We start from the raw sequence: 23,363 nt of genomic DNA on the forward strand, positions 1-23,363 counted from the left end.
AAAAAAAAAAAAAAAAAAAAAAAAAAAAATTAGCCGGGCATGGTGGCACACACCTGTAGTCCCAGCTAATCAGGAGGCTGAGGCAGGAGAATGGCATGAACCCAGGAGGCGGAGCTTGCAGTGAGCCCAGATCGCGCCATTGGTTTCCTTTGTTTGAACATGACTGCCACAACTATGATACAGTATGTTGCTTACTTCAAGTGCCTATCTTTATGTGACATGGGTCTCTCCAAGTTCAGATTCTTGTGACAGAATCTGACTGATCCAGCTAGCCTGTGAATTTGTTTCCCTTAAGTCAGGTGTTCATTCTGTGGCCAATCAGCCAGAGCAGAGATAAGATCACATGGTGATAGGACTGTCACCTTTTCCAGGCACTTGATGAAAGAGCAGATTCTCTGAGAAGGGTATGGGAAGGGCTGGCAAATAGACTGATGTTTGCTACACCCATAATCCTAGCACTCTAACACAATTTTAAAGCATATTGTGTATTTCTCCATAGATCATCATTTTGGCTACATAAATATATATATATGTATGTTTTTGTTGTTGTTGTTTTGTTTTGTTTTTGAGACGGAGTTTTGCTGTTGTTGCCCAGGCTGGAGTGCAATGGCACAATCTTGGCTCACTGCAACATCTGCCTTCTGGGTTCAAGCAATTCTCCTGCCTCAGCCTCCCAAGTGCTGGAATTACAGGCATGCACCACCACGCCTGGCTAATTTTGTATTTTTAGTAGAGACAGGGTTTCTCCATTTTGGTCAGGCTGGTCTCGAACTCCTGACCTCAGGTGATCTACCCTCCTCGGCCTCCCAAAGTGCTGGGATTACAGGCATGAGCCACCGCGCCCGGCCATGGCTACATAAATATTTTTTAAGCACTTCACTGTATACCAGGGACTTTACTAGGACTACACTAGCTTCAGGCCCTCCATTTCCTAATTTGTAAAATGAACTATCCTGTCTTGCTTTAGAATTCACCCACACACACACACACACACACGTTTATGCGTTTATCTATATTATACTGAATACAATTGTCCTTTCATATCCGTAGATTCTACATTCATGGATTCAATGAAAGGCATATCGAAAATATTTTTAAAAATGACATCTGTACTAAACATGCACAGACTTTTTTCATGTCCCCTAAACAATACAGTATAACAACTTTTACATAGCATTAACATTTTATTAGGTATTTTAAGTTGTCAAGAGATGATTTTAAGTATACGGGAGGATGTACATAGGTGATATGCAAATACTATGCCATCTTATATAAGGAACTTGAGCATCTGCTAATTTTCTGGTTTCTGAAGGAAGTTCTGTAACCAATTCCTCATGGATACCTAGGGATGATGGTATATTGCCTTTGTTACCAAACCAACCGGAATTTTGTTTGTTTGTTTGTTTTGAGGTGAAGTTTTGCTCTTGTTGCCCAGGCTGGGGTGCAATGGTGCAATCTCGGCTCACTGCAACCTCCAACTCCTGGGTTCAAACGATTTTCCTGCCTCAGCCTCCCAAGTAGCTGGGATTACAGGCATTCACCATCACACCTGGCTAATTTTGTATTTTTAGTAGATATGGGGTTTCACCATGTTGGTCAGGCTGGTCTCGAACTCCTGACCTCAGGTGATCCACCCACCTCAGCCTCCCAAAGTGCTGGGATTACAAGCATGAGCCACCACGCTTGGTCCCAGCCAGAATTTATTTATCCAAATGAATGTTGTGCAGTACCCTGAATTTGAGCTAGAGAAGAAATTCAGTATAATTTCTTCAGTTACATCTAGTGTTTAACCAAACTTTAGTATTACCCAGGTTACTTATTGATTTGGCTCTGAAATATTTGTTTTGTAAAACAAATCTATTAAAAGTCAAAGACTTGCTGTCATCAAAACTATTTAAAAGGCTGTGAGGCCTACTGTAAAGATATCCCAAAGAAGGACTTCACAAATGTTTTTTGCCAATGATAGAATCATTCCTTAATTCTGTAGCTCCTAAAGTAACTACCTTGAAGAGCACGGATCTTACCAACATATGTAGGTTGTTTAAAAAATCATTCATATTATGTACAGAATCAAAGATTTAAAAAAGTATACAAGATACAAATACCCAGTTAAATCTATAGTTAGGCATTTGAGACTTAAAAAACAATTTGGTGGGACTCTTTACTGAAGTATTAAAAAACAGAATTCTATCTCACATCTATTTCACCTACTGTGACCCAGTATCTAAATATGTCAGTATACTTCTCTTCTTATGCTCACATAGGAAAAAATTGGATTGAAATGCTTAGGACACACTGGAAACTAGATGAATTTAGAGCTTTTAGAGGAAAAACACCTTGCCACAGATCTCCCCTGAACCAGCCAAGTTAATTAATCTTGGTTTTTGTTGTTGCTCTTGCTGTTGTTTTACCATAGTTATGCAAAAGTAATGCTGCAAGTACAGACCAAAGCCCCAGAGGAGGTAGTTGAAGTTCAGCAAAATAGATTTACCAAATCCATTTGTGTTTGCCTGGTTTTATGTTGGCATTTAGAGTCTATCTTTATTTTGGTAGCTTTGTAGCCTGAGAGTGAGAGAGAATATATGTGTATAGGTATGTTTATATGTATTGCTGACAAATTCAAAGACATTTGATTAAATATGCTTTATGTAAGAAGTGAAAAGTATTGTGTATATTTTTTCTTTTTCTGTGGATTACAATATCTTCATTTCTGTGGTTACTTTTTGCAAAAGATTAGTCCAGATTCATCACTCTAGTTTCTAAGAGGAATGAAAGACAATTTAAAGCTAAATTCAAATTCTATGTAAGTAGTATAATCTGATGAACACACCCTTTTATCCCAAATTTAGAGCAACAAATGTTTTATTTAATTTGAGAATATGAGATAGGAAAAGTCCATCATAAAAGTGGTTTCAGAAGCTCAAAATGTTAACTATAGCTTCCATGCGTTACAGTCCCGTGATGCTCATTTAATTCTAAAGTAAGTCACTGTTGTTTCTAGAAAACTAGTCATAGTTAGACTAATTCCTTTTTGTTGTTGTTCAAAGATTTGAAATAAATGCACAAAGTCTTCCTTCTTTGTAGTAGACTAGTATCCTGGTTTCTGCATTTTTCCTGAGGAATTATACTTTAAGACCTAAGATAAACAATGTAGAAGAATCCTCTAAATGTGACTTGTGGATTCCCTTTGTACAGGACATATTCTTTGGTGTTAATCATGATCCTGAATCATTCCTGCCCCAGCCTTTTGTCTCATCTTCCCTATTGTACATTTACAAATTGGCCCTAATGGGTAAGAAAGAAACAGACAACTAAAATAGCTATAAGATGAACAGCAGTTTTTTAAAAAACTTTAAAATATTTTTCACACTCTACAGGGGAATAAGCAGATAATTTGCATATACACTTGTGGCTCTGTGATGTTTTCATATACCAGAATTTAACACCTTTGCAAAATCCTAGCAGAGACCATGGGGATACACAATTAGATGCTTAATCTAAACCTGGAACAATGTGATTTGGGCTGATTTGCAGAGAGACTGTAAAAGCTGAAAAATCAGTTTGACAACGTTCCTGCTGGGATTGGCCTGCAATAAATGTTTGCAGTGGTATTTGGAGGCCATGCCAGTTTATTCAGATCACTGGGGCTTAGGAGATGATGCCTACAGTAAAACTTGAGTTCACTGCTTATCAGGGAATGTGTGAAGGCTCCCAGGCTGAAGGTTCATTAGGTCAGTATGTAAGAGCTGTCAATCAGACCAAGCTGTCAGGGGAATACTTTTTTAAAAAACAAACAGAAGTAAAATTTTTCTACTTAGGATTTTTCCACATTGCATCCCTTCTGCCATCATATCGTCCATACAAGAGACAGCCCTTGTGAGAGAGTAGAATATTAGCCCATTGTAATGTTCCGAATGTCAGCCTTTGGCCACCATCACCTATGAGCACGGCTGCTGCTCTTAGTAATCATTGTGGTCACTTAGGATGAATGGGATAGAATGGTTGTCCAAAGTACATAAGTCTTTAAGGAGTTAAGGACTTGCATCATATTCATTAGCCCCAGTATTTTACCACTGTGATGGAAACATAGAAGGTGCTCAGATGTTTATTGATCTCAACATCAAGAACAGAAACTACTATATGAATCTAGCATACATATGGCCTTTACCGCCCCATTTCCCATTCTTGGCTTTAACAAAATTTGACAAAATTATTTCCTGTATTTCTTCCATATTGTCAAGCGTGTATTGTTTTATAGCTAGAAAACCTATTATTTAGGTTTGATTTTGGTGTATTTACTGATTGAGCATGACTAGAAGAATATTCGAAAGGTCTTTGTGAAAAAAAAAAAAAAAAACATCGTATTACTTGTAAAGGAAGCCAAGAAGGTTTGGAGGTGCACCGTTTATTAGGTTTTGTGTGAACATTTAACACTAAAACATTAGTTAATATATATTAACCATTTAGATGATTGTAAAACATTATATCCATGTGGCAAGTCACTAAATCAAAACACAGGTAACTGGAACAGACTGACAGAAAACACAGTTGGCCTCATCAGATACATAGAAACCATAGTAGGATGACCAAGATAAACAGTATAGCTATGAAAACATCAAGTTGATGATAGCATAGACTCTAATTATTATCATCGATAGAATGTGAATGTATAATAAAGTGAATTATATAGTTTTTGTTTAACTCTTGTTTTAATTAGCACCAGATTCAGCTACAGTTGTATTTATGAATCTATGTTAATTTCTAATAATTAGAATGAATTACTTCTTCCTAAGATAATACTCTTCCTAGAATGGAAATTTAGAAAATATACTCTATTAAATATCAGTTGATTTTCTTTCCAGGTGGCATCCATTAGGACAAACATTATGAAAAGGCCACTGACCAAAATGTTGATTTCCTAGCTGACACCTGGAAGAAAAATAAACTTATGTTTAATGGAATAGACTGTCTAAATCCCTGTTTTGAGAAGAGTTCACATTCATGAATATGTATTCATTGCTGAATTCAATAGATTCGAGTAGTGAAGGACATCCGTATCATAGAAAGTCGCATCTATTCATTAACTTACAACTTTCCAAAGAAACAAGCAAGAATGCAGCTTGAGATGGAGTGCTGGCAATACGCAGTTCATTCCTTTATTATGTGACACGTTTATCATGACCTGCATGATAACTAATGAAATAAATATGAGATTTGTGTATTATCTGTGGCCTAATTTGTTGAACTTCTCATTTTAAGTTACAGTAGCACAATCCTAAATCAGTATTATAAATGAGCTGTTTATGGTTTTGTCTTATTCAGTGTTCTAGGTGCATTATGTTTTTTTATTTATACATTTCAAATAATTTTTCTCTTTATTTCTTCTTTTCTGCAGTGGTAAATCATCCCTGTGCAACAAGGGCTAATCCAAGATCAGCTACATAAACGGCCTGAGTGCTGTTTTAAACAGGATTGGGTGATGGTACAACATGACTTTTTAAGATAATCAAGTAGTAAAAGTTTCTAGTGGAAACATGATATTCATTTTGTCTGGTGCTCTTTTCTTTCTGCCTAAGGCTTTCTGATAAAATTTATGCTATATGCCCCTTAATACCGATTTCATGATGGTTAACCATATCTATGCCTGGAAAGAAAATATAGACTTGGGAAGAAAACAGATATATAGTCTACAATGAATATTTCTAGCTTGCATTCAAGATGACTGTGTTGTGCAGAACATTCTGCCAGGCATTAAGTGGGATACAAAAGCAGTCTAACATATGATCTCTGTCCTATGAATGTGTTTTTAAAATGTATACTAGTCATTATTGGAGTGACTATTATATAAAGACAAAAGCCACTAGGGTAGCCATGGTTTTTTGCCAGTTATTAGCCATATATAGTGCGTGCATGCACACATACACACACACATACATATATGTAATATATAATTTTAGTATATTTAAATTAATCCATATTTTCAAGAACTTCATTAACTTGAACACTCAGAAATACCCTGAGTGTTTTAAGACATAATTGCAAATAACTCATGTAATGCGTATATTTTTATATCTTTGCATGTATGAAGTTTATACATTCAGGCTTGTGCAAATGTGTTTATATCATTTGCCTAAGCCCTTGATTATTTACATGTTCCTATGTGGGATCACAGTCCTTCAGATATGAATCATAGCACAGTGATTTCTTTACATATTCGTATTCTACTATTGAGATACTTTAAGAATCCTGTGAGTTGTGTACCTGGAAATATAAAATTGATATTATTATTAATCCATTCAGAAATCATATTGGGCAATAGCACTACTACATGTACATTTAGTAGCAAACATAGATAGAATATTTGGAGATAATGAAGATTTCAATACTGTGTTAAGAAAAAAAAAAAAAACAACCACGCAAGAGACTCGGCTCTTGGCTCTCAGCTCCAAAGCATGTGAAATATTCAACTTAATAAGAACATAACTGCAGGAAGCACTTCTAGGTCATGGGAGTTGCTATGCACAAAAGAGGTATGGTTGTTCTAGCTCAGAGAAGCTTCCACATATATTATTTATTGAGGAAGCCTCATTTTAATGCTGTATAGAGAAGCCCGAATGACATACTCTTCACAAGTGGCAGTATTGGTATTACAGCATTCCAAGGGTGTGAGACTTAGTTTGGAAATGAACTGAGAAAAAGCAAATAATATTTCTTAACTATTGTAGAAAATGGAGGTGTCGCTAGGAAAATTATATTTTCCTCTGGTCTTTCTCACCATTTATTTATTCCGCTCACCAAGGACCCTGGCTTTTGAGGAGAGGTCCATGGCTGAGAGAACATTAAAAGGAAAGAGTGAAAGTGGAGAATGCAGATGCATATTTGGATTCAGGAGGAAGGGGAGGTTCAACAGGTGCCTTCTATAGCAGAGTTGGTTGTTAAGTCACACTACCCACAACATGCTACCCACAATAACCACAGAAGAAAGGTTACACATACATAGGTCTGTTCTCCCTTTTATGCTCACTTACCACACAAATGACATCTTTGTGCCTGTTGTTCGGGGTCATTGCCTAAAAAAGTTGAGTTGAAACTGGCAATGAAGAAAGAATGGGCCGGGCATGGTGGCTCACGCCTGTAATCCCAACACTTTGAGAGGCCAAGGCGGGCGGATCACCTGAGGTCAGGAGTTCAAGACCAGCCTGGCCAACATGGTGAAACCCCGTCTCTACTAAAAATACAAAAAATCAGCCGGGCGTGGTGGTGTGCCTGTAATCCCAACTACTCGGGAGGCTGAGGCAGGAGAATTGCTTGAACCTGGGAGGTGGAGGTTGCAGTGAGCCAAGATCGCGCCATTGCACTCCAGACTGGGCAACGAGAGTGAAAATCCGTCTCAAAAAAAAAAAAAAAAAAAAAAGGAAAGAAAAACACAGAAAGAGTGGAGGACTTTAACATTTCTTGAGTACCTATTGTTTTCCTGGCATGTTCTAGGTGTCATATGTACAGCATCTCATTGCATCTTCACAACATTCCTGAGCATTAGGTTTTCTTTTCCCAGGTTTACAGGGGAAGAAATGGAAGATTAGAGAAGTTAAGTAGCTTGGGCAAGGTCGCAGCTGGTGAATGGCTGAATCAGAATCTGAACACCAGTTTGTCTAATTCTATCCTGCATGCTATTTCCTTACAATGTTCCCTTTCACTTAGGGGCTCATGCAAAAGATTTATGATTTCCTTCAGATTTTCTTTGGTCATAGTGCTCTAAACACTTGTAGCTGAATTTTTAGTTCTTACCTCAAATAAGTCTGATAACACTACTACATTTTTAAAAAATGAGTGATATAATTTGTAGAAATAGTCACTGGAATGCTTTTAAGAGATTTCAAATCATAGAGTTGAAAATTCATGCTGTGCTCTAGGCATTATTGATCCTGAGCCATCTCATGCAGGTAGATATAAATCCTCTTCTTAAAGATCTCTGGTGAAAAAACACTTTCAGGCTTTTCCATAGTAATTTACCTCATTGCTGAAAATGTTTACAGATAGGTGTATGCACATTGTTAGGACCAATGACATAATGCCCAGTTGCAGTGAATCAAGCTAATAAAATAATAATCCTTTTTAAAATTATAATCTTCAAAGGGTTTCCGAAAATCACTTATAGGAAGTTTATGTGATTTTGCTGTTTCTCTAGGAAAGGCAGTTACGTTTGAATATTTAAATGATCAGGCCTTGTGTGGGTCACACAGGGATTTTTATTTTGCATTTGGATTCCCTTTATGGTTTAAATCACAGATCTCTACCTTAAATGCAAATGAATGGAGTGTTGAGAATTGACATAATTTTTTAAATTGCCATAGTTATTTCCAGGGAGCTTTATACCTCAGTATAAGTATCTTATCCTGTATTATAATTGCTTGCTTGTTTGTCCTTCTAACAAGACCATGAGCAATTGGAGGACAAGGATTGTGCCTTACTCATCACAGTATCTCTAGTGTTTAGCATAATGCTTGACACACAGGAGTGATCAATAGTTATCTATTGAGTGACTGAATTAATTTCTCCAATTGATTCTGCTTAGACAGGCCTTTCTCCTACATTCCCCCAAATGCAACCTGCTAATTCACATTTCTCTATCCTGGTTTATGTTATTTCTCTCAACTGGAGTGCTCTTTCCTTCTTTTCTCCACTTATATAAGTCCACCTAGTTCTTCCTGGTACAACTAGTTGCTACATGAGTCCTGTTCTAACTATTCCAGATCTCATAGAGTCATGTCCTCCTCATGCCTTGACTCTTTTAGCCTATGGGATGCCCCACACACTTTAGCCCTTTATTATGTGCAGCTTTATATTATTTGCCAATTTAAAAAATATTTTTGTCTTGTTTTCCCAACCATTATGAAAAGTAGCCATGTGTTGTATCATTTTCTCTCCCCTTCATAGTGACTTAAGTGTGGAAGAGACCGTTGGATAACAAACTATGGCCTATAAGCCAAATCCAGTCCAAAACCTAAGAATATTTCTTTTTTAAAAAATTAATTAATTAATTAATTTATTTTTGAGACAGAGTCTTGCTGTGTCGCCCAGGCTGGAGTGCAATGGCGTAATCTCTGCTCACTGCAACCTCCGCCCCCTGGACTCAAGTGATTCTCCTGCCTCAGCCTCCTGAGTAGCTGGGATTACAGACGCCCGCCACCATGCCCTGCTAACTTTTTGCATTTTTAGTAGAGACGGGGTTTCACCGTGTTGGTCAGGCTTGGTCTTGAACTCCTGACCTCGTGATCTGCCCGCCTTGGCCTCCCAAAGTGCTGGCATTATAGGTGTGAGCCACCACGCCCAGCAAGAATATTTCTTATGATTTTAAATGGTAAGAAAACAATCACAAGGGCTGGGTGTAGTGGCTCACGCCTGTAATCCCAACATTTTGGGAGGCCGAGGTAGGTGGATCACTTGAGGTCAGGAGTTCGAGACCAGCCTGGCCAACATGGTGAAACCTGTCTGTACTAAAAATACAAAAATTAGCCAGGCGTGGTACCAGGTTCCTGTAGTCCCAGCTACTCAGGAGGCTGAGGCAGGAAAATCACTTGAACCCAGGAGACAGAGGTTGCAGTGAGCAGAGATCATGCCACTGCACTCTAGCCTAGGCGGCAAAGGGAGACTGTCTCAAAAACCACAAGAAAAACAATATTTTGTGACATGAAAATTATATGAAATTCAACTCTCCATAAATAAAGTTTTTTGCAACATTGCCACGTTTATTCATTTACACATTATTTATGCCTGCTTTTGGGCTACAGCAGTAGAGTTGAGCAATTGTGACAGAGACTCTGTGGCCCACAAAGCCTAAAATATTTACTATCTGACCCTTTACAGGGAAAGTTTGCCGACTGCTGGAGTAGATCATCAATGAGTACTTACTGGTTAAATAATTCATTGTCTTATGACTCTATTCTATTATGAAACAAGATAGTCTGAAAGTACTGTTAATTATGCTGTCTTGCCTTACATAAAGAAAAATAGTAATAAAAGCAACCTCTGGAGAACAGATTATTTTTATCTTTTAGTTGGTGAAGTATAAAAATTTTCATTTTCTCATTCTCTGGTAAAGTGACTTATAGTGCCCTTATTAGTTTTAAACCTTTTCAAATATGCAGAACCTCTTCCTGCAGAGATTTTAAAGAACAGGGTAAGGCCAGGCATGGTGGCTTATGCCTGTAATCCCAGCACTTTGGGAGGCCGAGGCGGGTAGATCACCTGAGGTGAGGAGTTCGAGACCAGCCTGGCTGACATGGTGAAACCCTGTCTCTACTAAAAATACAAAACATTAGCCGGGTGTGGTGGCGGGTGCCTGTAATCCCAGCTACTCGAGAGGCTGAGACAGGAGAATCCCTCGAACCCAAGAGACAGAGGTTGCAGTGAGCAGAGATCGTGCCACTGCACTCCAGCCTGAGTGACAGAGCATGACTCCATCTCAAAAAAAAAAAAAATTAATAATAGTAATAATAAAGAACAGGGTAGATGATTATCGTTCTGGGATGGACTAGATAACTTCTAGTATTGTGCAGCCCAGTGATTCCTTGAATCTCCTCTAAATGTAAACCTTGCTTTATTAGAAATGAGAAATCTGATTTGTGGATATGAAGTCTCCGCATCCCCCATAACTCCTTGATTCTCCTTTGCCAGGACCTCCCCCCACCCTCCACTTTTGGTTTAATCTAGTTCTTCTAATTAAATATGAGATAATTAAAGTTCACAGAGTTTAAACCCAGCAGGTTTGATTTAATGATAAAAATCTTGGTTTGTCAGCTTTTCAAGGCATAATCCTGGCTGCTGCCTTATCTGACAGGTAGTCAGCCTAGCAGGTCTGAGGATGAAAACCAGAGCATCTCATCTTTTCAGGCATGACTTGCTATTTATCTTCTGAGGCATAATTTACAATTGCCCTATAGAAAATGGGTAGGGTTAAATAAGTAGAAAAGGTCTCCTTTTGCTTTGGCTCAATTAATTCATTTCCTATGCGGTTGTCGATGACTAGGCTTACAAAGTAGACAGATGTATTTCAAATGAGGAGAAAATGCCCCAAACATAGCATATTTGATTATTGTAAATTATTCCTTTACTCACTGAATATGTAAAGTATGTAAATTTAGTCCTGCTGTCAAAAGGTAGCTCTGTACCATTAGTTTCTGCAGCAGACAAGGCCTGCTGCATCCTGTACTGCATTTTCAGAGAGATAATTCTAATGACAGCTTGAGCAATTGCCTTAATGAGCCAGAAAGGTGTTCTTTTTTATTCGTGTTTAGCTGCTTAGAGTCATCTGAAATAGAGATCATCTGTAGATATTACAGAGTGAAAAAAGACATGGGTTATCTTATTAATGTGTTTCTCCAAGCATGCTAAGAATGAACCATCAATCAGGTATTTGCCAAGAAAATAGCTTGTTGTCAGTTCTGTATAGGTGATATGGCAACCTGAAATGCAAGTTTAGGTTCTAATTATCATGCTAGCTAAGTAAAAGAGTTGTCAAGTTGCATCTATAAGTCATTTTGGGAAATATTGTAGGGCTTACCAAATTGATCACAAAATAGCATTAATATTGTAAACCTGAAGTGAACAACATAACCAGTTTTTTAAAAATAAGGCACTCTACTTGAGTCATCAGGAAAACATTAGAAATCTACCTATGTGCATCATATTATATGTAAAATTTAGTTTAATTGGAGCTTTGTGTTGTTAGAACCCAACACATTAATATTAACATTTGAGACAAATTTCCTATCATCTGAGTCTTTCATTCTAAGTGAAATGTCCATATTTTCTCATTAATTTGGGTCTATTTAAAGATCAGTCACATCACAGTAACATAAAGATTGGAAAAGTAATGTTCACATTTTAGTTAAAGTCATGAAATATATACCTATAATTGACTATGGTGTTTTGATTTGGTTATAAAGTATAGCTGTACCTTCCACACGGAGTTAAGAGAAGTCCTGGCTTAACACATTAGTGGTAGAAAGTGTAAGTTTACACTTAAGCCACTCCCCAGCCAAGGATTTGCATAAAAAATGAGTGAAGTTCAGCTTGGGTTTATGTTAGCAAAATGGCAAATGTAGAGGCACGCTAAAGGTCCTTTCTGCCACCCTTGTATACAATACATGTCTGCATCTTGCCTAATCTTAATTAAATGTCTTTATTAAATCTTTATTAAATTAATAAAATGTCTTCTGGGTCTGAGGACTGAAATTCTGAAATGTAACCAATATTTAAGAGCTTAAACAGTGCTTCTGTATAGAACTTGTAGTATGAAATATGACTTCAAAAAAGCCTGAGCTGTAGAATTAATTTTTTCAATTGAATGAGTAATACTGCTTTAAAAAATATACATGGCCGGGCGCCGTGGCTCATGCCTGTAATCCCAGCACTTTGGGAGGCCGAGGTAGGGAGTTCGAGACCAACCTGACCAACATGCAGAAACCCTGTCTCTACTTAAAAAAATACAAAATTAGCCAGGTGTGGTGGCACATGCCTGTAATCCCAGCTACTCAGGAGGCTGAGGCAGGAGAATCGCTTGAAGCCGGGAGGTGGAGGTTGTGGTGAGCCGAGATTGCGCCATTGCACTCCAGCCTGGGCAACAAGAGCAAAACTCTGTCTCAAAAAAAAAAAAAAAAAAAAAAAAATATATATATATATATACACACACACACACACACACACACACACACACACACACACATACACACACACATCCTTTTTATGGCCTCGTGCAGTGGCTCACCCCTGTAATCCCAGCACTTTGGGAGGCCATGGTGGGCGGATCACCTGAGGTCAGGAGTTCAAGACTAGCCTGGCCAACATGGTGAAACCCCATCTCTACTAATAATACAAAAATCGGCCAGGCATGGTAACTGGCCTCTGTAATCCCATCTACTTGGGAGGCTGAGGCAGGGAGAATTGCTTAAACCTGGGAGGTGGAGGTTGCAGTGAGCAGAGATCGTGCAACTGCACTCCAGCCTGGGCAACAGAGTGAGACTCTCTCAAAAAATATATATAGGCCGTGTGCTGTGGCTCACACCTGTAATCCCGGCACTATGGGAGGCCAAGGTGGGTGGATCACCTGAGGTCAGGAGTTCGAGACCAGCCTGACCAACATGGTGAAACCCGTCTGTACTAAAAATACAAAAATTAGCCAGGAGTCCCAGCTACTCTGGAGGCTGAGGCAGGAGAATGGCTTGAGCCTGGGAGGCAGAGGTTGCAGTGAGCCAAGATTGTGCCATTGCACTCCAACCTGGGTGACAGAGCAAGACTCCGTCTAAAAAAAAATCTATCTATCTATCTATATATATATATGTGTGTGTGTGTGTATACATGTATATATATACACACATCCTTTTTAGTTTAAATAATCCATTGTATTAGAAAGAAAAAGTTACACTAGTGAATCAGCTCTACAGTTTTCAGAAGGTGAATCAAATAATTACTAAATTGAAGTACAGTAAGATGAACTATCATGTGAAATTATATTTCCCTATAAATTTCTTATGAAATCTTGCATTGATTTGTGCATGTGTGTTTGACTAATGAAGTGAAGTGTGGGACTACTATAGAATTTAGATTTAATGCCTAGGTAATGGGTACTTGTCCAATTACAGGTCTTCATGAAGTTTCTAATGAAAAAAACACTAAAGAGCTCTTCTTCTCAGCTGTATCATAAATGACAAAAATCTCAGCTCCCCAGGCCTAAGTCAGTAATAAGTGGAAGAGTGACTCTTCTAGTTACTAATTCATTTGTGGAGTTTTCCAAAGTTAGCTTGCATTGTAAGTTTCTTATAAGGAGGATCATTTCATGAGAGTTGGTTTTTTGCTATTGTCACAATTGTGTAATCGTCCCCATAGAAGCATGATATGCATACACTTAACACATTCAATTTGTAATTCTTCTTGCTAGTAAAGCCAAAAATTCTATCCCATGCTTAGACATCCATGGAGGTGATCATTATAATGCATTATTTGTCAAATTTTATTCTTTTTCAAAACTCCAAAGAAAATGTGACATTCTACTATGTCTTTGAATCTCTGATTATATACATTTGTTTATGTTAATCTATAACATGTTACTTGGTTTCTTTGAAGCTCTGTTTTCTAGTTGATGATGCTAAAATTTATGTTAATTCACATCTAGGTGTACTTGAAATCACCTAATTTGAAATTGCAGTTCTTAAACAGCTCTAAGAAATATAATTATGTAAAGAATATTTTGAATGAAATTTTGAATAAATTGGTAGAAACATAGTTAATTGTTCGCTGCATCCCAAAACAGTAGGCTTGGAAAGTGATGCTTTTCTACTTTAATTTTAAATCTTGTACATTTTATAAGAAAGGAGTAAGCCTATCCCCATATTAGGCAAGTCAGATTAAATGTTAGTTCCATTAATTCAGAGAAAATAAGCTCAGTTAATGATGATTCAATGCCAGTTGAAAAATAAACAGATATGCAAAATCTTGGTTTCTTCCTGTAATTTCTTACCATTTTTTTCAGTTTCTTTGTTGTTCTGTTAAATCTTTAGTTAGGTTATGGTAGAATGCCGTGGTACCTCATTGTTCTTTAACTCTAGTGATTGGTTGTTTTTAATTACATTAATGGTAGTTTTTTGTTTTTTTTGTTTGTTAATTTTTTGGTATATCAAACATTTTCTGTTAAAGGAGAAAGGAAAGAAGAGCTTTGACTTACAAACTGACTTGAAAGCTATTCCAGCAATTGGTTGTCTTTGAAGTAGGCAATTTACCCTTTTTTTCCCTTCAAAATCAGTTATACTACATATTTCCTTTTTGAAGCAGGAAAGAATGAACTGTGCATCACAGTTCTGTTATCTATAGCAAATCTGTAACTCCTGAATCCTTTCTTCCCGACCCCACCCACCCTGGGGGCTACTTCTCTACCATTAGTTTATGGTCATCAGAGAATTACAACAAGTAGAGCAGCACAGCCTTGTGCTTTCTACTCTAAAGGTATTGCTTCCCCAGACAACTGAAACTTGAGTTAAGCCCATGCCCCAGGAAAAGAAAGGTCAGGAAGTTATTTTGCTTTCTGGAAGGCTACAGAGATGAGAGCAAAGGAGATGAAGAGCCTTGGCATCTACTCCAGAATTGCTTTTGACTGCCAGACTTCGATCTAATCTCTATGGCACATCATCAGCATTCACTGTGTACCTCATACACAAAAGCAGAAGAGTAGCTGGATTTCTTTAAAATTGTGCCCTTCATTTGTTTCCCTTGCATGTTCTATTTCCCCAATTAACTTTGTGAGCCCTGGGCAAATTAGTTAACCTCACTGGGCCTCAAAGGCCTCATCTATAAAATGAATGGTTTAGAATAGATGATCTTTGATCCCTTCCATTGCAAGCATTCTATGCTGTGAAACCTCAAGGCTGTAAACTATATGAGAGTAGGAGCCAATTTTTTTTTTTATCATTTTTTTTATCTCCCCACAGGGCCTAATGTAACTTTGACTGTACTACCTTGCTTTCACTATGTGAAGTAGATTTTGAAGACAGCTCTAATATGTACTAAACTCGATTAGAAATTAGACATCCCATTTTAGTTGAAAGTCAGCTTATTAGGTAGATGTTATATGAACTTGCTTATTTCAAAAGGAAAAAAAATTCTGGGAAATGAATCATTGGGATGGAATTAAGTAATCCCATTTAGGAAAATAGTACTTTAATAATAGGCTATGAAAGAGTTATGGGTTGAATTGTCACCCAAAAAGGTATGTTTAAGTCCTAATCCCCAGTATCTGTGAATAGGACCTTGTTTGTGATTGGAGGCTTTGAAAATGTAATCAAGTTAAGATATGGTCATACTGGATGAGGGTGCACCCTAAATCCAATGACTGGTGTCCTTATAAGTAGGCCATGTGGGACACAAAGACACACAGGGAGAATGCCACGTAACTGTGGAAGCATAGACTGGAGTGATGCGACTGCCAAGGAATCCCAAGGATTGATGGCTACCATAAAAAGCTAGGAGAGAGAAGTGCAACAAATTCTCCATCAGAACCTTCAAAAGAACCAACCCTGCCCTGTACCTTAACTTCAGAATTCTTGTGTCCAGAGCTGTGAGAGAATACATTTCTGTTATTGTAAGTCACCCAGTCTGTCATAATTTATTATGGCAGACCTAGGAAACTAATACAGAAGATGTGGACACTGGCCTAGGAAAAGTCCCCAAAGAATACATAAAGCTCTGGACTGGAACAGTCATAGCTTGCAACTACCGTAGGACATCTACTTTCAGCCTAGGATGTCTTCATATTTTATAAAATATAAATCTAGATAGTAATAGAACATTAAGATCTTTGGAGCAACTCACCATTCCTTACGAGATCAGGACCGATCTTATACAAACCCTGATCAGCTGAATTAGGATCACATTTGTTATAATTATTACCGATCCCTTGAGAGCCACCTTTGACCCAGCATATCATACCCACAAGCCTAAGAGTAAGCTGCAGAAAGACTGTTTCTTAGAATGGTTGTCCATTATTGACTACCCTCTTCTACCTTATGCATGTTTCTTTTGTCCTTTTTTCGTTAACCATTTATAAAGTTAGATGCTAAAGAATATTGAGCTCAGAAATAGTATTTCCAAATAAACAATGTGTAAATCAATTTAAGCTGTTTACTTCCCCATTGGGAATAATCTCTCTTACTTTCTACCTATGAAAACTTCACCCAGGCTTTCACCATGCATAGCTCAGATCCCATCTACCTCATCAAGGCTTCGTTGAATTCCCCATTTGAAAGTAATCTGCTTGCTGTAATTACATAACTTATACTCTCTATGTAGTTCTGTTGACACTTAGCAAAAAGTACCCTATATTATAGTTTTGTTTTTACATCTCTGTGTTTTATTGTTAAAGAAAAAATTATTCTGACACTTGTTAAATATGGTAAGGCTGACTTCATTCAGAGGGACTACTACAGTGGAATTTTGTAGTACGGTAGTGAGATTAAGCCAAACTCCACACACAAGAAGTACCAAGTGGACATTTATAGCCATGAACCAGGGTGGGGGTCGATTGATGGAAAATTACTAAGAGGAAACATCAGGCCTAAGGGCATTCCAGCTAAACTGACTTGACAGGATTCTTGCTGAAGTCAGACCAAGATGATAAGATATCCAGAGTGAGGAATAAGGAATTTGATCAGATAATCAAGGGTGAGGGATCTGCACTAAACTAACCCAGTAGTATTTTTGCTAAAACAGGACTAAATGAGCCAGGGACAGAGCCTAAGTTTGGGTCTAGTTAAAAAGGGAGCTCAGAAGAATCTGACTCAAGTTTGGTCAAAGGAGAGAGTCTGTCATTATCTCCTCAATGAGATTCTAGAGAATAGGAATTATAATTCATACTCTTTTGTATCTCTACTCCCTACTGCCCCCACCCCCATGAAAAACAGTGTATGCATGTCATAAAGTAGTTTGTAATTGAGTATTTTTCATTGATGGTTGACTAATTTTGACAGAGCCGACACCTTAATTCACCAGTTAAATTGGCTCTAGGCACAGCCTTGCACAACTCATCATTATTTGACTAAATGAAGACAATATATTCTAAGACTCTGGTACAGAATTTCTGGTTAACAGTGGTTGGCATAATTTATTCTCTTGCCTGCCATTTTCAAGTGATGTTACTGCTTTGAACTCATTTTTTAAAGTAATATTTATAAATATAACTGGTAAAAGTGTGGCATCTTTGGCCAATGAAAAGAATTGCTGTCAGCTTGAGAAAAGAAACGTAAAGCACTAAGTATACTAGAAATTGCAGACATCCTCACAAAAGTGATGGATTAATGACCACATACAGCATTATGAAAGCTAGTTATGGTTTGCTTAAACCAGTCTCTCTCTTTATGGCATTCTCAATCTTTTTAAACAGCTAGGATATAATAACATTTTAAAAATTAAAGTATTTCACATAACCAAGAACTTGATATGAAATGAGCAACATTAAGCACAAAACAATTGAAGCTTCAAATACTGGAGCAGGCAAGAATTTTAAACAGCCCGAATGAATAAGGATGCAACATTGTTGTGCTTCTTCAGATGCAGGAATAATCAGGCTCAGAGGTTAGCAGAAAGAGATTTTATAGCAATAATGGCTCCCCATACCATTTTTCTCTTGTGACTTTGACTCACAAAGGTGAAGCTTTCATTTGAAGATTTGATACAATGCAGCTGCCAACAGCAGGGGGGAGAATTTGGCCAAATGGCTGGACTCTCTCAAACATCTGTGAGGGACAGAGATTGAGAGGGAGAGACAGGGAGAAATTGAGAGAGATATAAAAGGAAAAGAGGAGGGGACCAAAAAGAAAAAAAAAAAAAAAGATTTGCATTACCAATGACAAATCAAAGTTGAAAGTTTGCCTTTCCTGTTGTCATTCATTGCCATTCATATTTAGAAAGCAGACTGCTGTGATAATTGATTTGATGGTCCAGCTTGAGTGGAAGCACTTCTGGGCATAGCAGCCTCAGAGATGCCAAAAAAGAAGAAAAGGTGGGAATGAAATAATGCACTACTTTCTCCTCAGAGGCATGTGGCCCAGTTTTTAAGAGCAGAAAAACATGCTCTGGGGTGGGGGGAGTAGAAACCTAAAGAACTTAGTAATAAATACAAAAATGACCATATAGCTCCAGTCAGATAAAAATAGGCATTCAAACCAAGACAATGAGAGGACATATTTTACTGACAAGTGAATAATAGGGGAGTGTGGTGGAAATAATCTGATTTTTAACAGACTCTGTCCTTTGGGAGTACCTTTTTTGCTCTTCTTTTATATAGAGACAAAAGTGATTTCTTTTCTAAAAAGCCTTTTAATTTTTAAGCTTTTCATACTAGATTGATAGTTCAGAAGGAGAAAAAGAAAACAATAATTGAGACTGAAAAGCTATATATGTGCCCGGATTATGTAAACATCACTGAATTTCCTTGAAGCAATAGGTAATAATGAAGCTTGTCCTTAGATTTGTGAGTAGAGGTTGGTGTTCAGCCATTGCTTCCTGCTGATATGAATAAGTTAGGAAACTAAAGTGCCAGTTGAAGGGGGCAAAAGAGAGAGAGAGAGAAAGAGTTTTTTAAAGTACTGAATTCACTGCCTGACCTCTTAATCACAACTGCCAATTGGATTGTATGCCCTGTCATTCCATTTAAGAACCTAAACAAACCAGATAAAAGACATAGCTGTCAAAACACAAATTTTAATCAGAACCTGTTTGTCTTTTGAGAGAAATATACTTGTGTTCAAAAGTAGATCAGTCCTTTAACTTTGTTACCTTTCTCTCTTTTCTTCCCTCTCCCTTCTATCTTCAGTTCTCCTTTCTTCATTTACGTACCTAGCTAGCTGCCTCTACTTATACCTACAGAGAAAGCCTGTTGTTTGGCCTCATTGAATGTGTCATACATATGCAGCTGTTATGCAAATATCAATACCGTCCCATCACAATTTCTGTTTTCCTGGTAAGGTTCTCAACTACAGTGAGACATTAAATTTTCTGAGTTAAAACAACAACAGCAACAACCAAAACCCTCAAATGTATGACTTATTTTTAAAAGATTCATCCAAAATTAATATGGAGGAAACAGTGTTAGCTGTCAGTATAATGTATGACAGTATTTCTGAAAATCTTTTAAAAAAATCATGAGAATTACCTGGGAAACTTACTAAAATTCATTATACAATGTATACCTATATCAAAACATCACGTTGTACCCCATAAATATATATAGTTATTATATATCAATCATAAATTGTTTAAAAATTTAGAGTATCAGACCATACCCCAGGTCTTGAATCACAGTATATAGTGCTCAGGAATCTACATTTTAACAAGTGCCCAGATCATTTTTCTACATACTACTGAAGTTTGAATACCAGAGACATAATAGTTAAAGAGCAATATTTAATTACATCAACTGGAATCTAATTCCGTTTTTACCATTACTAGTTGTGTAAACTTAGGCAAATTATCTAGCCTTTCTAAAACTTAGTTTCTTCATCCATGAAATGTATGTAACAATGCCTACCTAATAGGGTTATTCTGAGAATTAAATAACATAACGAATATAAAACACAGCACAGTAGCTGGTGATTCTAATATCAATACATAGTCAATATTATTGATATTGTTTATCTTTTATGATTTAGAAATAGGTTCTTTTCTATGGGTTGTTCATATTGCGCCCTTGTAAATAATAGTTTCTATTTCCATTTTATATTAACATAGACGGTACTTTTCCATGTCTCAAGGATGTATAAGATTAAACATCAGGCCAGGTGTGGTGGCTCATGCCTGTAATCCCAGCACTTTGGGAGGCCGAGGCGGGCAGATCACGATGTCAGGAGATCGAGACCATCCTGGCTAACACGGTGAAACCCCATCTCTACTAAAAATACAAAAATTAGCCAGGCGTGGTGGCACGTGCCTGTAGTCCCAGCTACTCAGGAGGCTGAGGCAGGAGAATCACTTGAACCTGGGAGGCGGAGGTTGCGGTGAGCGATATCACGCCACTGCACTCCAGCCTGGTGACAGAGCGAGAAAAAAAAAAGAAAAGAAAAGATTAAATATCATCCCCATCACTTCATCTTACCCAGTGGGGAAACAAACTATTTTAAACTAAAGTAGTAGCACATGCTTACTGGCATAGAGCAGAACATTCTTATTAATACCAACTCTATGTAAATAACTAGATATATACATTATTCACATCTGAATGTGTAATTAAAGACCATTTAGGTACTGAACTTGATGAATGAGAGGGAAAAATGTCTGGGATGTCAATGTGATACTGTAAATACCGAAGGCAATTCACAGTGTGACTAGTAGCACCACCTGTCTCACACCCAAAGATAATTCATCAAATAATACCACGTCTAAACTGGCAGATTCTTTGTCTTCATAGCCTAAAATAGAGAAAAGATCACTAGATTTTTTTTTTAAAAATCTAATCCCAAAACTTACCAGCTCTGTTACTTCAGACAAACCTCTTAACCCTCAGTGCCCCCATCTATAAAATAAGGATAATTATATTTGCCCCACCTCACAGCCTTGAAGTGAAAAGAAATGTGGTAATGTATCCAGGAAGCATTTATAAACTAAATGCTATACAAACAAATGGTGTTATTTCATACCTATTCAAATGGACTGAAAGTCATTTGAAAATGTTATCAACTTTTGACCGTGATTGTATTCTCATTTTCCAAGGAAGTCCAAAAGATAGATTAAATTTGAATTCTTCATTGTTGTGCCTTGCTGATTTTTGCTTGAGGTGATCACACTGCATTGATGCATTTTTACACAGCTTTTGTTGAATATTCCTTGGTCCAAAAGCTTTCAGCTTTATGGCTTTGAAGCTCCAATTCCCTGATCAATGTCTGAACTTGTGAAGCTTGAAATTTGTCATTTGGCATTGACTTATGTGTAAATCTGAGTCAAAATTCAGTGTCCTTTAAACATCTCGGGGCAAATTTTCAGCATGGCCTCATTTTTACTGATATGATCATGTATTTGTAAGTACAGATTGCCACTTTTGTCCTCAAGAGAGCACAAAGTGGTCATTGCACCTGCCATGAGGTAATTGAAGGTGCAAAAAATCCCACTTCTACAAAAAAGTCTTTATAACACTCCCTTCCTTTACACCCCTCCCTTCTGTTCCTCTGTGTGTACCGAAAATAAAAAAAAAAAAAGAAATAATGCTATTAGCAGGCTATGAATAGAGATCAGCATTTCTTTTCAAGAAAAATAAACTGCATTTAATTTGGGCTTCTCTTAAAAAAATAAGATACCCGGTGTAATTTAAAATAAAAATATTGATGGAAATGGCAATGTCTTTCATAATTATTATTCAATTGCAATGTTATATACTCCATAACTTAAGCAAATGAGTAGTTTTGACTACTGGAAAATAGCATTTGAAAGTCAATTATGGAACTTCCAGCACACCTATAGTTTTAGTGTCCTAAACTTATCCTCTAAAGTTACTCTAGACCAAAAGAGTAACATTTGTTTTTGATACACCCTTCTTTGTGCCAGTGTTCTCTAAGTACTTTTTGGATTCTCGTGCTAGAGAAAAAGAGCTATAAGAAATGAAAGATAAACCTAACCTAGGGTTTTATCTGTTACCAGAACAGTATATATGTTACAAATGACTTATAAAATTACCCAGGCAGTGGGAGCACTTCCTAGCCATTTCCTGGTGTGCTACCTGTGGCCATTCTAAGCATTGACTAAAAATTATTCACAGACCTTGATTTTATTGCTAGTGATATATTTACACATACTATTTAGCCCAGATTATTCATATACTACATATATGCCTACTAGCCCAGTGCAAGTAGGTAGTCACTTGTTTACCTCTCAGAAACAGCAAGCTGTTATTTTTCCTTTTTAAAAATTTGGCTATATTTGTTTTTTGGTTGTAGGAAGAAAACTTAACAAGAGATCTACCCTCTTATCAAATCTTTAAGTGCACAATACAATATTGTTAACTATAGGCACTATGCCATACAATAGATCTCTAGAATTTATTCATCTTGCACAAATGAAACTTTATACCTGTTGAACAGCAACTCCCCACTCCTCCTTCTCCCCAGACCCTGGCAACCACCATTCTACTCTGTTTCTGTGAGTTTAACTATTTTAAATAGCTCATAAACGTGGAATCCCGCAGTATGAGTCTTTGTGTGCCTGTCTTACTTCACTTAGCATATGTCTCCAGGTTCAACCATGTTGTCACATATGGCAGGATTTCTTTCTGTGTTTAAGGCTGAATCATATTCCATTGTACGTACATACCACATTTTCTCCATTTACTCTATTCATTCACTGATGGACATTTGGATTATTTCCCTATCTTGGCTGTTGTGAATAATGCTGCAGTGAACATGGGAGTGCAGATATCAATTTGAGATCCTGCTGTCAATTCTTTTTTTTGTTTTTTTTGTTTTGAGACAGAGTCTCGCTCTGTCACCCATGCTGGAGTGCAGTGGCGTGATCTCGGTTCACTGTAACCTCCACCTCCTGAGTTCAAGCAATTCTCCTGCCTCAGCCTCCTGAGTAGCTGGGATTACAGGCACGTGCCACCACGCCCGGCTCATTTTTTGTATCTTTAGTAGAGACGGGGTTTCACCATGTTAGCCAGGATGGTCTTGATCTCCTGACCTCGTGATCCGCCTGCCTTGACCTCCCAAAGTTTTGGGATTACAGGCATGAGCCACCGCGCCCGGCCTCAATTCTTTCGGACATATCCCCAGAAGAGGGATTACTGGATCTTCTGGTAAGTCTGTTTTTAATTTTTTGAGGAAGCTTCATACTCT

The 23,363-nt window shown here is 37.5% G+C and overlaps 1 protein-coding gene across 2 annotated transcripts in view, besides 1 other annotated feature; it reads left to right on the forward strand.

The window, feature by feature from the left end:
* Positions 1-23,363, forward strand: part of DIAPH2 (diaphanous related formin 2) — a 920,156-nt gene that overhangs the window by 779,457 nt on the left and 117,336 nt on the right. Inside the window, exon 27 of one of the 2 annotated variants that reach the window (NM_007309.4) lies at positions 5,396-5,538. The exons of the other annotated variant lie outside the window; for it this stretch is intronic. Coding sequence (NP_009293.1) covers positions 5,396-5,445 — 50 coding nt within the window. The 3' untranslated portion in view covers positions 5,446-5,538. Of the gene's footprint in view, positions 1-5,395; positions 5,539-23,363 lie in introns of those variants that run through there. 2 annotated transcript variants of the gene reach the window in all.
* Positions 18,089-18,758: an enhancer, noted in NCBI's record as "OCT4-NANOG hESC enhancer chrX:96737386-96738055 (GRCh37/hg19 assembly coordinates)". NCBI's record gives its function as "activates a minimal SCP1, AML or CMV promoter by ChIP-STARR-seq in primed H9 embryonic stem cells {active_cell/tissue: H9 hESC(primed)}" and the evidence as "EXISTENCE:reporter gene assay evidence [ECO:0000049][PMID:30033119]".

This window comes from Homo sapiens, chromosome X (genome assembly GCF_000001405.40).
Source record: "Homo sapiens chromosome X, GRCh38.p14 Primary Assembly".
Lineage (NCBI taxonomy): Eukaryota > Metazoa > Chordata > Mammalia > Primates > Hominidae > Homo > Homo sapiens.